This window comes from Homo sapiens, chromosome 11, assembly GCF_000001405.40.
Source record: "Homo sapiens chromosome 11, GRCh38.p14 Primary Assembly".
Taxonomy (NCBI): Eukaryota; Metazoa; Chordata; class Mammalia; order Primates; family Hominidae; genus Homo; species Homo sapiens.
The window spans coordinates 47,123,105-47,138,352 of NC_000011.10; the positions used below are offsets into that span (position 1 = coordinate 47,123,105).

A 15,248-nucleotide genomic window follows, 5' to 3' on the forward strand; every position below is an offset into this window, starting at 1 on the left:
GTTTTCATCTTAAACTCATTTCATCAGATGAATTAAATCTTTATTGTAAAAGCTTCCAAAGAGAAATTCCTCATCTGGGGTTGAAAATTCAGATGCCAACACTGGCCAGGCAGGTCATATAAGAAGCATACGTGTTATTCGGTGGTAAACTGGCAACAGCATCCTCTTCCCCAGCTCCAGCTGATTGTGGTCATGCAGGAATGCTGGCCCATCATTACCAGGTCTTCTGATTTTTTTCTAAAAAAGAGAGCTATCTGAAATCTAGATTGTGTTGTGGGAAATATCTTAATGTTTTGCCTCAAAATTTAAAAAGTACACTTCAAGCCAAACAAAACCTGGCTGCCAGCTATATTCTCTGTCCCAGACAGTGAGTGCTAAGAGTTTCACAAGCATTATCTCATGTATTCTTCACAGCAGTCTTGCTCCTCTAATGGTTATTTATTAGGAACCAACAATGAATAAAAAATCAAAATCCTTGCTCTCTTGGAGCTTCTGTTGGGGAGACAGTTACTGCTCTGGAGAAAAAATAAAGCAGGAAAACAAGATGGGGGTAGAGGGAGAGTTCACAGCATTCCCACTCTGCTAGCAAGTTATGTGCTAGATGGTCAGATTATGACTGGGCACCGTGGCTCACGCCCGTAATCCCAACACTTTGAGAGGCCGAGGTGGGTGGATCACCTGAGGTCAGGAATTCAAGACCAGCCTGGCCAATGTGGTGAAATCCCACCTCTACTAAAAATACAAAAATTAGCCAGTGTGGTGGCTTGAACCCGGGAGGCGGACGTTGCAGTGAGCCGAGATCATGCCATTGCACTTCAGCCTGGGTGACAAGAGTGACTCTGTCTCAAAAAACAAACAAACAAATTATGCGCTACCCAGTCTTTGTGCTACTTCCTCAACCACAGAGAATGACAATGAAAGAATCCTAGAATGTTAAACCCAAAAGCAACCGTCACAATTATTGAGATTAAAAGGTTTGTACATTTTCAAATAGTTCTTAATGGTCTTACTTTTTTTTTTTTTTTTTTTTTTTTTTTGAGACAGAGGCTCGTTCCGTCACCCAGGCTGGAGTGCAGTGGTGCGATCTCGGCTCACTGCAACCTCCACCTCCCAGGTTCAAGCAATTCTTCTGCCTCAGCCTCCTGAGTAGCTGGGATTACAGGCACGTGCCACCACGCCTGGCTAGTTTTTGTATATTTAGTAGAGACGGGGTTTCACCATGTTGGTCAGGCTGGTCTCGAACTCCTGACCTCGTGATCTGCCCACCTCAGACTCCCAAAGTGCTGGGGCATAAGCCACCGCACCCGGCCTTAATGGTCTTACTTTTAAAAAATCCTTTGATGTCTTCTCATTGCTCATACTTTTGTTTACTTTCTTAATTTTAAAAATAGGTTATACATGAAAATGACAAAATTCAAAAGGGTATACAATCTTATATACTTTAAAATATACTTTACTTAGTCTATCCTATATACTTTAAAATGTATTTTACTTAGTCTAATCAGCCGTGATCATTTATTTATACGTGAGGCATGACAGGAAGAAATTGAGGCACAGAGTTGGTATCCAATGGAAGGCCACCCATTGATGGAGAAACCAAACCCCAGTGAGTAAAACCAGACTTTGTCTTTCAGAATTCTTGTGCATAAATGAAGTTGGGTAGATTCATCCTGATGCCACTGGATATTTTTCATTTTTTTTCTTTACTTTTTGTATGCCTGCCAGTCTCAGTGAAAGATAAGGATCAGGGTTCAGAAAGCCTAACTATTGTGTCGTTTCCCAGGATGGAGAGCACTATCATTTGGTTCACATTTTTATTAAAATAAGATGAGTGATTCACTCACATTACAGGCAAAGGATCCTTTACCAGGAAACCATACTTTGAAAAACAAAGCTGATGGCTTTAAGGAACAGTAACTACTAACATCAATTTCCTTTCCCATCAAGTCCCAAAAGAGTCAGACACTCTTCTTTCTCTAGCTGCCTCATTCTCTTCCCGATACATATCCATATAATTATAGATAGGGTACATTACATATACCCATAAAAGACAAAACAGCAGGAAAGACAAAGGTAGATTCATCTGAAGAGATGTGTGTGTTTATCTATATCCAGTCTTCTTTCTGGTTCTTGCTGTTTCTGTTCCTTACGTCTGTTTTTTTAGTTGATAGGTAGCCGTAAATCCATCATCATTGGTGGAAGCTAGTGGATTCTGACGAGAAAACAGGCTGTGGTCTTCATAAGCACGCCTACATGCTGGCCACCACCCTCCCCTGCTCGCACACCCATCAAGAACTGGAGAACTTAGATTGTTGCTTTTTTATTTTTAGTCTGTCTTGGTTCCACTCACCCTCAGTGAGTAACCCCGTTAGCCACTGCTTCTGTTTATATTTATTTAGAAAAGAAGGAAAATGCATTTTAAGAAAATCAAATGCATAATCTGTTCCACTTCTTATTTATTCTGTGGCTGCTTTGGACAGTGGAAAGCTCAGAGGAAGTATAATAACTTTTATTCATTTTTGTTTTCTGTGGCTTGCTCTCTTAAGTTCTCATCAGACAGCTTTGCTAATAACATAAAATTTCATCCTAATGATAAGCCTGATTTTAAATTGCAAAGAAAAAGGTAGTGGGGCCAGGAGCAGTGGCTCACGCCTGTAATCCCAGCACTTTGGGAGGCCAAGGCTGGCAGATCACTTGAGGTCAAGAGTTCAAGACCAGCCTGGCTAAGATGGCAAAACCCCGTCTCTACTAAAAATACAAAAATTAGCCGGGCACGGTGGCACGTGCCTGTAATCCCAGCTACATGGGAGGCTGAGGCATGAGAATTGCTTGAACCCAGGAGGCAGAGGTTGTAGTGAGCTAAGATTGTACCGCTGTATTCCATCCCGGGTGACAGAGCAAGACTCTGTCTCAAAAAAAAAAAAAAGTGGGAAGTATTTTTTATATATATAAATGAAATATACTTTTCTCTTCCTAATCTGTGTCTAGTCCTGTTAAAATTGCAGATACAGGCTTATAATGGCTTTAACTGTTTATTACTTTTGTTGTCTCTTCTCTATTTTCTTATAGGCATCAGTAGCAAGTCACTTAAAATAGAAAGGGCCTGTCAGTTTGAGGGGAAGCAAGTTACAAGCCAGACAGACTACATCTGACCCTGGAGCCACCCTAGGACAAAAAGTGATAGAAAGAGATGGAATAGCTAGTGGGAGATTTAAATGTTCACAGTAATAGTCACTGGCCAGGTGCGGTAGCTCACACCTATAATCCCAATACTTCGGGAGGCCAAGGCAGAAGGATCATTTGAGGCCAGGATTTCCAGAGCAACCTGGGCAACATATCAAGACTCTGTCTCTAGAAAAAATAAAAATGAAAAAATTAGCCAGGCATGATGGTGCATGCCTGTAGTCTAACTACTTCCCGCCTAGGCTAAGGCAGGAAGAGCTCTTGAACCCAAGGAATTCCAGGCTGCAGCGAGCTATGATCATACCACTGCACTCCAGCCTGGGTAACAGAGCGAGACCCTATCTCTAAAAAAATTAAAATAATGGCCAGCACGGTGGCTTATGCCTGTAATCCCAGCACTTTGGGAGACCGAGGCAGGTGGATTACTTGAGCTCAGGAGTTTGAGACCAGCCTGAGCAATATGGCGAAACCTTGTCTCTACAAAATATACAAAAATTAGCCAGGCGTGGTGGTGTGTGACTGTGGTCACAGCTATTTGGGGAGCTGAGGTGGGGGGGATTGCTTGAGCCCAGGAGGTGGAGGTTGCAGTGAGCCAACATGACGCCACCGCACTCCAGCCTGGGCAACAGAGCAAGATCCTATCTCAAAAAAAAAAAAGAATAAAATTAAATAATAAACAAAATAATAATAGCCAGTTGCAGCTAACATTTACTGGGTTCTCACTGTGGGAATTCACTGTGCCAGGTGTTTTTCATCCATAGACGAAGGAAAAGCAGGTTGGGTTCCCAGAGACTTACAGCAAAAAGAAAAGGACATCATAGGGAGCCAGTCTGTGTAGCAGAGAAAGGCCAGCCTTTGAATGAGAAGGCTTGATCTGATCCAGGAACTACCACTTATGCGGCAATTTTGTCCCTTGCTTGAGCCTCATTTTCCATGTCTATAAAAATGGGAATTAATACCATTTTCTTTTCCCTGCCCCACAAAATTCTTATGGGGATCAAAAGTGATAATGCATATGAAAATGGTTTGCATAATTCTACACTGTCTGCAAATATGAGCCATCAGCACTATTAAAAGTGAGGCAATAGAGGATTGGCAGTGCACTGACAGTCTGGGAAAGTGGCGCACCTGCCTTCAGGCAGGAACTCTGTTATTCATTCATCAATAAAGAACAAAGGCTTGACAAAATAATCATGAGATAAGAAATAAGATCGTTTCAGCCACCCACTGGCTGGAGCTGAAGGAGAACTGTGATAAATTGTGCCTTTTGTTATGCAGGTGCCATCCCACCTGTGTCTGTGTGCCTTAAATGAAGGAAAGTAATAAAAGTAATAACAAGAGCAGGTACTGTTGATTGGATGCTTATCTATGCCATGTACCAGCACCTTAATTTACCATCTCTTCCTTTAAAAAAAAAAAGATTTTTTAATCCTCTCAAAAATTCATGATTAGCATTATCATTATTCATACCATTATTACTATTATTCACTGTCATTTTCAATTGGCTCGCCTAATGTCACATGGCTAGTTAGCAGAAGAACCAGGATTTGGACCCAGATCGGCTGATTCAGGAGCCTTGATTATTATTATTATTTTTTTTTTGAGATGGAGTCTCGCTGTGTCATGTTGCCCAGACTGGAGTGCAGTGGTGTGATCTTGGCTCACTGCAACCTCCACCTCCCAGGTTCAAGCAGTTCTCCTGCTTCAGCCTCCTAAGTAGCTGGGATTACAGGCATGCGCCACCAGGCCCAGCTACTTTTTGTATTTTTAGTATAGACGAGGTTTCACCATGTTGGCCAGGCTGGTCTTGAACTCCTGACCAAGTGATCTGCCCGCCTCTGGCTCCCAAAGTGCTGGGATTACAGGTGTGAGCCACCATGCCCAGCCTTAGCCTGTACTCTTAACCATTGCACTATGTAAGACCCACTTAGGTTTTAGGGCCTAACTGCCCTTTGTAGAGCTCTAGAGTTTTAAGGTAGCACCTCAGGCCTTCTTTCCTCGACTTCTCGTCTGGGTGAGAGCTGTTGAAGAGAAAGTTGGCTAAAAAAGGCTTTGTTTTTATAAATATTAAATATTGAGATTCCTTACAAGATTTTCATTTGTTATCTCTTTGAGACAGGGTCTCACTCAGTCACCCAGGCTGGGGCGCAGTGGTGCAATCATGGCTCATTGCAGCCTTAACATCCTAGGTTCAAGCCATCCTCCCATCTCAGTCTCTTGAGTAGCTGGGACTACAGGCGTGTGCCACCATGCACAGCTAATTTTTTCATTTTTATTTTTTGTGGAGATGAGGTCTCACTATGTTGCCCAGGCTGGTCTTGAACTCCTGGGTTCAAGCGATTCTCCCGTCTTGGCCTCCCAAAGTGCCGGGATTACAAGCATGAGCCATTGCGCCAGACCTAGATTTCTATTTTTTAAAATGTATATATATTAAAACATTTTTTTCAGGCCGGGAGCAGTGGCTCACAACATCCTTATTTTACAGGTGAGAAAACTGAGGCCTAGAAAAATTGTGCCCAGATAGGTATAATCCTTTGCCGAAGTCAGACCAAGTTCTTTTCTCTATCATGATGTGTCTCTGTAGTAAACTTTTGCCCCCCTAAAACAACATAAAAACCTTCATTCTGGCTTTAAACACCCCCCAGAAATAAATTTAAAATTCTGCCTCTTTTTCAAAGGTTGAGTGAGGTATATCACCATTGGGAGGGTGTGATGTTTTCTCTTGCCTTTAGTCACCATTAGGAGGGATTAAGGTTTATTCTCCAGTTTAGCTCTTGTGCCTGTTTAACCATTTCTGTTCAATTAAGAACAGGAATGGGTTGCAGGAGTTTGTAACAACACCTGCTTCTTGGAGGAGAATTATAACTTGGCCCTGAGTTGTCCGTTTCAAAGGGCCCACCCTGTCCTCCTGTTTCCAAAGAAAAACTGGAAGTGGTAACACCTGGTGGAGCTGCATGAGCACGTGAGTGGTGGTGCAAATTCTAGGCTGGAGTCACTTCTTTGATGGGCTGCCGGAGCCTTTGAGAGCTTATGGTGCCAAGATCCTGCTCTACATTCTAGTGTCCAAAACTGCCTTCCATTTCCTCAATAATGGGTAGGAAACTGTGTCCATGCCAGAGTAGCTAGCCCCGTTGCTACTAGAGAGGCTTTCTTTTCTCCTAGCACTGGTGCCTCCTTCCACAATGCATACGGCTGCCCACCCTCGCCATATGCAGCCTGTGTTTCATATCCTCACACTTTCTAAGACAGGACCTCCCCCAGAACAAAGCCTTGCCTTGGTCCTCCAATCCCTAATGGCCCCATCGTGATGAACAGACCCCCAAGGGTTCGACACAGTATAGGGGATTCTTATCAGACCAGGCCTGTGGTTTAAGCCACCAGTGGTGGTTCAGGATGGCCATGGTTAGCCTAAAAACCTGATCAGATTGCCATGGTATGTCCTACATGACCCTGGGTAGAATGTTGAGATCCTGGTTAGAAATGCCTGCATTTCTTTAAATCTTTACCTGCTGTATATAAACAGTTCCTGGAGAGTTGTTTTTGTTCATTTTAAACGTTGCCATAAAATTGTTACTGTGTCTGATTTAATACTTTGCCTAGAACAAAGATACTGCCAAATAGAAATAGACTAAATACATTTCTAGCTTGGTGTCTGGCTTAGTCATAATAAAATATAAAACTAAAGGGGCAGCCGGGTGCGGTGGCTCACGCCTATAATCCCAGCACTTTGGGAGGCCGAGGCGGGCGGACCACGAGGTCAAGAGATGGAGACCATCCTGGCCAACATGGTGAAACCCCATCTCTACTAAAAGTACAAAAATTAGCCAGGCATGGTGGCAGACACCTGTAGTCCCAGGTACTCGGGAGGCTGAGGTAGGAGACTCGCTTGAACTCGGGAGGCAGCGTTTGCAGTGAGCCGAGATAGCGCCACTGCTCTTCAGCCTGGCGACAGAGCAAGACTCTGTCTCAAAAAAAAAAAAACCAAAAAAAAACTAAAGGGGCTTTCTGCCCCCATTGGAACACACTGAAGATGCTCTGGGGAGTAATGAGCTGGCAAAGGGTAGTGTTCATAATGGCCCAAATACTTTACCCCACAGGTGTCATTCGAGGCCATTGCCTCTTATTCCTTTTGTAAGGTCATTTCCCATTCAGTCAACTAATTATCATTTCCCTCCATTTATAATATAAAACAACAGTGCTGCCAGAGGAGATAAAATTGAATAACACAGCCTTCTCTTCTTCTGGGGCTTTGCTTGACAGGAACATGGCCCTAGTAGGGTAGCAATCTTTCTGTGACATGTGATACCAACTGCTACATGGGGAGTGAAGTCGTCAGATGTCTTGCCTCCTTCTTCCCTTCCCCCACACTGTCCCTCACTCCCTTCCCCCTCCTCACAGAGTAGCACTGAGAAGTATTTACTCAGCTGTGGCCTGGTAACAAAGCCTTGGTGCCCCAGGGATTGGAAGGGGTGGTGTGGTCATGCCCCGAACTATCCATGTCCTTCCGAGCATCTCTTGGCAGAGCAGCCTGGCTGAGGATGAGTGTCATTTAGAGTGAGCCTTCACAACCCCTGCATAAAAGAACATAAAAACAATTGCAGCTGAAAATTGGAGAGTCCACACATGGGCTGTGGTATTCTCTGGCCTCTGTGGTAGTACTATTGAGATCATGCAGCCAACAAACTAGAGGCTGTTCAGTCCTCTGGGACTCCCATGGCTTGTAGCATTTCATTATCTTTAGCTCTTGTCCAGCACTAGCTCACTCAACCAACATATAGGCACTCACACAAATGAATTTAGACTGAGCCCCATTTCATCCCCCATAAATTTAGAGCTAAAAGTCTTTGACTTCAGGCTTTAGGGAAGGTTTTCTCTGAAGGAATGAATATATGGCCCCACTTCCTTCCATCTGGCACTCCTCCATGGGTATTCTTTAGTGACACCACTGTGATCCTGGCAAAGGTACCATTTCCCAGGAAGAGGAGAGGTATCCGATCTACAGCTATATTCCACCACAGTTCTGAGCAAATGTGGACACGCATGGTGGTCTGCAAGGAGGATGTAGAAATGACTAAGCTGCTCCCACAGAGCTTCAGAAGCAGGACTTGCCACAGCAAGAAGGCAGACCAGATGTCAAAAAGACATCCTTTTCCTACAAATGAGAATGAGTTAGCCCTTGAATATATTGGGAATCAATAATTTCTGACTAATTTTCTTAGCTAAAGTAAATTCATCTAACACTCTCTAGGATTAGAGTGGATATAACCAACAGAAGAATATTTTGAGTCAGGGCAGTGCTTATCTTGAAAGCAGTAGTATTCATGCTAGAGTTGTAACAGCAATAAAGTGAATTTCTGTGAAGTGAACCCTAGGCTTCCTTTGGTTTTCATGGAAAAATCAGTGACATGGCCTGGCGCAGTAGCTCATGCCTGTAATCCCAGCACTTTGGGAGGCTGAGGCGGGTGGATCACCTGAGGTCAGGAGTTCGAGACCAGCCTGGCCAACATGGTGAAACCTCACCTCTACTAAAAATACAAAAATTAGCCTGGCGTAGTGATGCATGTCTGTAATCCCAGCTACTCGGGAGGCTGAGGCAGGAGAATCGCTTGAACCCAGTAAGCAGAGGTTGCCATGAGCCGAGATTGTGCCACTGCACTCCAGCCTGGGTGACAGAGTGAGACTCTGTTAAAAAAAAAAAAGGAAAATCAGTGATACATTCTTATGAAAAGAAATATTCAAGCTGATTGAACTGAGCACTTGGTGCAAAGGCCAACAAGCCCATGAAGTGTAGTACACTGGTCATGGTTTATCATGTTTACTGACAGTTATAGTACCTAGCACGTAGGGGATTTTCCTTTTTTCACACTTTACAACTCCTGGTTTCTCCTCATACCCCTGTAATTTTGCAGAAATGCCTCCTGTGCCTGGAGACCCCCTATCTTTGTGTTCACACAGTAACCAGAACTTTTTCCCTATGAATTTTTATTTGGGTCACTGTGTGAGGCATGTTTTTATTTATTCATTCCTTCAACAGGTGTTTACTGCAATGCACCAGGCATTGTGCTGATTGCTTTAGCTAAGTTCAAAGATTCCTTAATTTCAGGACTTCAAGTTTTAATCAGTTAATAATTATAAAATAATGCTACCACTTATTGAGCACTTTGCTAACTTTTTTCAGAAAAGTGTATATGTTACCTCTTTTGATCTTTTACAACAATTCCATTAGGTAGGTACTGTAGTTCTTACACTTTTAAGACAAGGAAACCAAGGTTCAGGGAAGTTGTACAGCTTGTCTAAGTCATGCTGGTGGCAAGTAGTGGAGCCAGGTTTTTGAAGCCAGGTCATCTGATTGCAAAGTCAGAGTTCTGCACTAATACAACTGCCCTGCCCAACTACCCTGTGCTGTTTAAAGTGGCCTGCCTGAAGGGTACCTGTATGTTTAACTTAGATAGAAAATCTGTCAGTCACCTGGTGTGAATAATCCTAACATCAGAAGTCCTTCACAAACCAGCTGGATCCCACCTGCTAGGGTGGAACTTGCAGGACCTTCAGAGCCTGTGCTAGGCCTAGGTCTGAATCTCAGCCCTCTTCCTAGCTGTTTCCTTGAGAAAATGATTACACCTCACTGAGCCCTAGTTTCTTTATTTCTAAAATAATAATAGCAAGTACTAACAGATGGCCCTTACGATGGGTCAGACACTGTTCTAAGCACTTTACATTAACTCATAACAACTCTGCAATGTTCATACTGTCATTTCATAGATGGGGAAACTGAGGCATGGAGAGCTTAAAAGTCAAGTAACTTGAAGTCAGTGGCAAAGCTAGGATTTGGACCCGAACAATCTAACTCCAAAGTCCATGCTATTAACCACAATGCTATGCTGTGCTGCCTCTGGAGAAGATAGGATCAAGGGTGTAAAACACCTCTGGTCTGGAGCCAGCCACATAATTGGTGAGACTAGTGCAAGGCTTAGAAGAAGAAAGTTTAGCAGTCTGACCACCCACAAAAGGAGACACACAAATTTGTGGAGAGTGTTCTGATTTTGATCTTACACCAAAGCCTTATTATGTCTTTGCCTTTGAACTTGCAGGACCTACTGGCTGACACTCTTCTAATTGTGGGGGGATCTAGAGAAGGTGTCTACTGATACACAATACTTACCTCCCCTGCACCTGCCAGGTAGAAGAGTGGCTGGCAGGTGGGTGGGGATGAGAGACCACGGTGTGGCCACCAGCACAGTGGTCCCCCAGCCCATGCCCTCTGGCCTGAGGCTGCTGTGCTGGAGCCTCAGTCTTCCCTGTTGACAGTAATTAGAACTTTTCAGACTCGGTTTCTTACATGGAAAATCTCAATTCACTTGAATTGTCTCCTTGATCCAGTTCAACTGGAGCTATTTAGTTCCTGCAGTTAGTTTGGAGGGGAAAACAAGCTCTTAAGCCTCACACATTATAGCTGATAAGATCAAGGTGCTGACAGTGTTAGCTGGGTAGGCTTTGGAGCCAGACTGCCTGGGTTTGAATTCCAGTTCTACCTCTTAAGTGTGCACAATCTGAGTTTTTGTGTCTGTGAAATGAGGATAATAGTCGTGAAGATTAGTGAGGTGACATATGTAAACCCCTTAGAACAGTGCCTCCCCAAGACCAAGTGCTCAATAAATGTTAGCTGTGTTATTGTTAAGCCCCTCCTGCCATCAGCCTCCCTTCTCTCCCTCCCACCCTGAGATCTTGCTCAGGGAAGACAGGTCCCCTTCCTCTCCCCTACCCTGGACCCTCCTCTCTTTCCTTGCTCACCAGCTTATTTCATCCCTCTAAACTTTCTCATCCTCATCTGTGAAATGGGACTGGAAATAATGGAGTCTACTTCATAAGGTAGTATGCTGTGAAGGCTAAGTGAGTTAATTTTTTTTTATTTTTTATTTTTTTGAGGGGGGAAGGAGTCTCACTCTGTCACCCAGGCTGGAGTGCAGTGGCATGACCTCAGCTCACTGCAACCTCTGCCTTCTAGGTTCAAGAGATTCTCCTGCCCCCCAAGTAGCTGGATTACAGGCACCTGCCACCATGCTTGGATAATTTTTGTATTTTTAGTAAAGATGGGTTTTTGCCACGTTGGCCAGGCTGGTCTCGAACTCCTGACCTCAGGTGAACTCTTGCCTTGGCCTCGCAAAGTGCTGGGATTACAGGCGTGAGCCACTGCGCCTGGCCTAAGTGAGTTAATTCAAGAGCTGAGCACAGATCTCCATGGCTACTCACTCTCTTTACAGTTATTGCTGGAGCACAAAGGGCTGTGAGAAGGGCCTTTGAGATCTTGGACAGTTCTAAGAGCCAAAGGGCCCAAAATAGACAGGAGCATTAGGGTGAACTGGTGCCCAAATGCAGGCTGCAGAAGCTAGGGGGACTGCTACCTTGTTCATCATAATGGGGAGCCTGGAACAGAGCAGGCACATGGGAATAGGAAGTGAGTGGCCACTGCAGGAGAGTGTTCAAAACGGATTTGGCTCAGGCAACCCAACAGAGAACTTTCAAGGCAGAAAACTTTTAGGTGTTTAAGTGTCCAAACTCAGCAACAGCCAGGCTCATGCCTGTAATCCCAACACTTTGGGAAGCTGAGGCGGGAAGTTCAAGACTAGCCTGGGTGACGGCACGAGACCCCGTCTCTACAAAAATTTTTTAAATGCGCAGGGTGTGGTGGCATATGCTTGTAGTCCCAGCTACTTGGGAGGCTGAGATGGGAGGATCACTTGAGCTCAGGAGTTCGAGACTGCAGTGAGCTATGCCACTGCACTCCAGCCTGGGTAACAGAGTGAGGCCCCCATCTCAAAACTAATTAATTAATTAATTAATTAAAATTTAAAATAAAAAAAACTCAGCAACAAATACCTTCCTCCTCTCTTCTTCTCACCTCCAGAATTTGAAAACAGAACCAAAACAAACTCCCATTGTTTGATGTTACTAAGTTCTAGACATTCTGCTAAGCACTTTATAGACATCATCTCTCTTACACTTGACTTTAACCCTGAGAAGTGTCAGTGTCACTTGCATTTTACAGATGAGAAACTGAGACTTAGAGAGATTAAGCAATTTGCCCAAGATTACATACCTGGTGAATCGCAGAGCCAAAATTTGAATCCTAGCCTATGGAGCAGAAAGGGAACAAGCTCCCATATGCCTATCAGTGTTCTGATTTTGAAATAAGTCTTACCACTTATAGTTCTCTCAATACCCACTGTACAACAGCTGAGGAGTGTCTCGAAGTAGCAGAAATCATCTGCCCTTGACATTATCTGGTCACTACTTCAGTAGAATTAGAACTCCTCTCTCCACATCCCAACACAGAGTCTGCATGGAAGAATAATAATAACAACTAATAGAACTACTCTCTCCACAATTAAAAGTTGTTTATTTGCTTGCATTTTCATTAATCTCTTTATCTGACTACTGTCCTCACTTAACATTTAGAAGAGTCAAGTTCCAGAAGTGGTGAGCAGGATGTATTCTGTTTTTCATATTTTTAAGAGCTTTTGTTGTGTTAGAGAAGCACGCAGTGATTTTTGTAAATCATTCTTCTGTCCTTGGAAGCAAGTACTTGAAGTACATGAGTTAGAATAATATCAAAAACCTGAAGAGGGCCTAGGGTCTAGAAACCAGGAAGCTAATGTTGACTCCTAGCATTGTCTTTCTTAATTAAGTAACTCTCTCTCTCTCTCTCTCTCATTTTTTCATTTTCCTTCATTCTGTTATCTTCCCAAGGATATTTTGTAGGTAATTTGGGGGATAAATGTAAGTTCCTATGAAACACTCTGACTCTCCCTAAGAATGCTATCAGATATATCCACCAAAGTTTAGCCTAGAAAAGCACGATGATTCAAAGATAGAACTTTCCTTTATTTACTCCCTGCCCTGCCAGAAATCACTCTTCTCTTTTCTCTACATGGGGAGTTCTGGAGTGAGAATAAAGTGGGAACACATTAGACTCAGTGGATTTTCTCCCTTCCCTTCGCCTTTTTCCTCACCCCAAGCCTGAGACCACGAGTGGCAATGACTCCCTCCCTTGAAGAACAAGACCTCCTGCCAGGCTGTGCCCGAGGTCAGGCAAGTGGGAAGAGGAGAGTGCCACAAAACCATCTTGATCCTTTGACCTATATTGACGCTGAGTCTGTTCCTTTGGTGTTTCTGACTTTGGCAGTGTGGTTAGTCAAACTCTCTGTCCCCACCTTGAATTAAGCTTTGATGAAAAAGTACTAGGAACCCAGGCCTTTCCCTGGAGATTTGGGGTTTTTGTCTTGGAAAAGCATCAACCAAACTAACGGGGGCAGGAGATCTGGATTCCTGTGGCTTGGGCTAACTTAGGTCCAAAGAAACCAAGTGCCTGTGATCATCATCTTCATTCCCCAAATGTAGCCATGCCCTCTGGATTCCCTCCTCTCACTCATCCTCCTCCCAATTAGGCAGGCTTCCGGGTGGATTGCTCTCACTTTAGCATTACCAGGCCCTTCCATATTCGAAATGCTTTGATATATGATAATACTTACACATTCTTACTCCTTGGCTGATCTAAAATCTTTTGCCTTCAGTACATGCAGCAACAAAATAACTTAAGCATCAGTGTATTTCTTCTCCCTCAGGATCCTATAAATTTCTCTGAGATTCACCTCTCTGGGTTCTCTGCTGGACCACAGAGCCTCATCCTGGCTCACCTCTCCCAAAGCACAAAGCATTGCTTCTGTATATCAGGAATCATTTGGTTGCCTTGACTGTATATCTTGGACCTTTGTCTTGGCTTCCTATAATAGGATGACCAGATTTGTGTTCAGCCATTCAAAAGAAGCCAGCCTGCTGCAGTACTGGATGACAGAGTAATGAGGTCTGTGGGTTTCTATGCTGTACTCTTCTCCCTACACAGCAAGACTGTTTGCGTTAGTACTGCTTCCAGATATTCTGTGGATGGTCTTTGGGCATGTGGTGGGAAACGTTACCATGCCAGAGAATTTCAGCAAATTTAACCGGCTTTGAAATGACTTGTTCTTCCAGATTTTTATATACAAGGAAAACCAAACTAAAGAAGACTGATGAAGGTGCCTCTCTTGTTTGCTCTCTTCACCCGACCAATTTTCATACCAGTGAAGCTCCTTTGGTCAAAATGGTGTAACTGGATGCCTCCCACCCTGGAAAAGCTTTGTAGAAATACTGATCTTAAAATCTCACACCTGGAGGTTAGAGACTAGCATACCCTTCACACTGACTTGCTTTTAAAAGAACAGCTCTACCAAGACCAGGTCTGAAACTCATGAAATGAACAAAAAGAGGGCAGTGACTTGAAATGCAGAGACCTAATGTGTTCCTCTCCATTTCCACTTCAGATTTGCTGACCATGAAAGAATATCACTGTTTGCTGCAATTACTGTGTCCTGATTTCCCGCTGGAGCTCACTCAGAAAGCAGCCAGGTACGTCTCCTGGACTCTTGAAACCAACTCAGCTCTCTGTGGGCCACTGCTTCCTAGAGAAACCTGGAGTGTATACAAATGAAAAAAAGGAGCATTTAGGGAAGAAACTGGCAGTGGGAGAGGGGTCTATTTGGGATGTGCCCCAAAACATAATACATTCTGCATTTCCAAAGGGAAGCGAAATGATCCTTTGTGGTTTCTGTGGGGAGCCTCAGGGTCTGAAGATAGAGTTGGAGGGTGGTGAGATGAAGAGGCAGAAAAAGCCCAGACCCCTCCAATACCCCCACACACACACACCCTAGAGGATATTCTGAGAAAAGAGGGGCTGCATTTGTGTGTTTTCACGCTACTGTAAAGATACTACCCAAGACTGGGTAATTTATGAAGAAAAGAGGATTAATTGACTCACAGTTCCGCGTGGCCTCAGGAAACTTACAATCGTGGTGGAAGGCAAAGGGGAAGCAAGGACCTTTTTCACATGGTGGTAGGAGAGAGAAGTACAGACAGGGGAAATGTCAGACGCTTATAAAACCATCAAATGTCTTCAGAACTCACTCACTATCACAAGAACAGCATGGGGGAAACTGCCCATGTGATCCAATCACCTTCCACCAGGTCTCCCT

At 43.9% G+C, this 15,248-nt stretch overlaps 1 protein-coding gene and 1 long non-coding RNA gene across 9 annotated transcripts in view; one reads left to right on the top strand and one right to left on the bottom strand.

Annotated features, from left to right (window-relative positions):
* The window catches only part of CSTPP1 (centriolar satellite-associated tubulin polyglutamylase complex regulator 1), a 227,697-nt gene that overhangs the window by 186,416 nt on the left and 26,033 nt on the right, over window positions 1–15,248 (top strand). For 6 of the 7 annotated variants that reach the window (NR_103472.2, NM_001278222.1, NM_001003678.3 and 3 more), the window contains one exon: window positions 14,541–14,625. Coding sequence is in view for 5 of the 7 variants with exons in the window: in NM_001278222.1 (NP_001265151.1) it covers window positions 14,541–14,625 (85 nt within the window). In the remaining 2 variants the exon portion in view is untranslated. Of the gene's footprint in view, window positions 1–14,211; window positions 14,457–14,540; window positions 14,626–15,248 lie in introns of all 7 variants that reach the window. The other variant, NR_103471.2, reaches the window with a different exon arrangement.
* LOC124902671 (uncharacterized) lies at window positions 1,801–13,772 on the bottom strand. Of its 2 annotated transcripts, none has more exons than XR_007062666.1 (2): window positions 13,713–13,772; window positions 1,801–7,754 (listed from the first exon to the last, which is right to left on the bottom strand). It is a non-coding gene; the product is annotated as an uncharacterized LOC124902671 (long non-coding RNA). The 2 variants fall into 2 exon arrangements; XR_007062667.1 differs by lacking the exon at window positions 13,713–13,772 and adding an exon at window positions 10,346–11,119.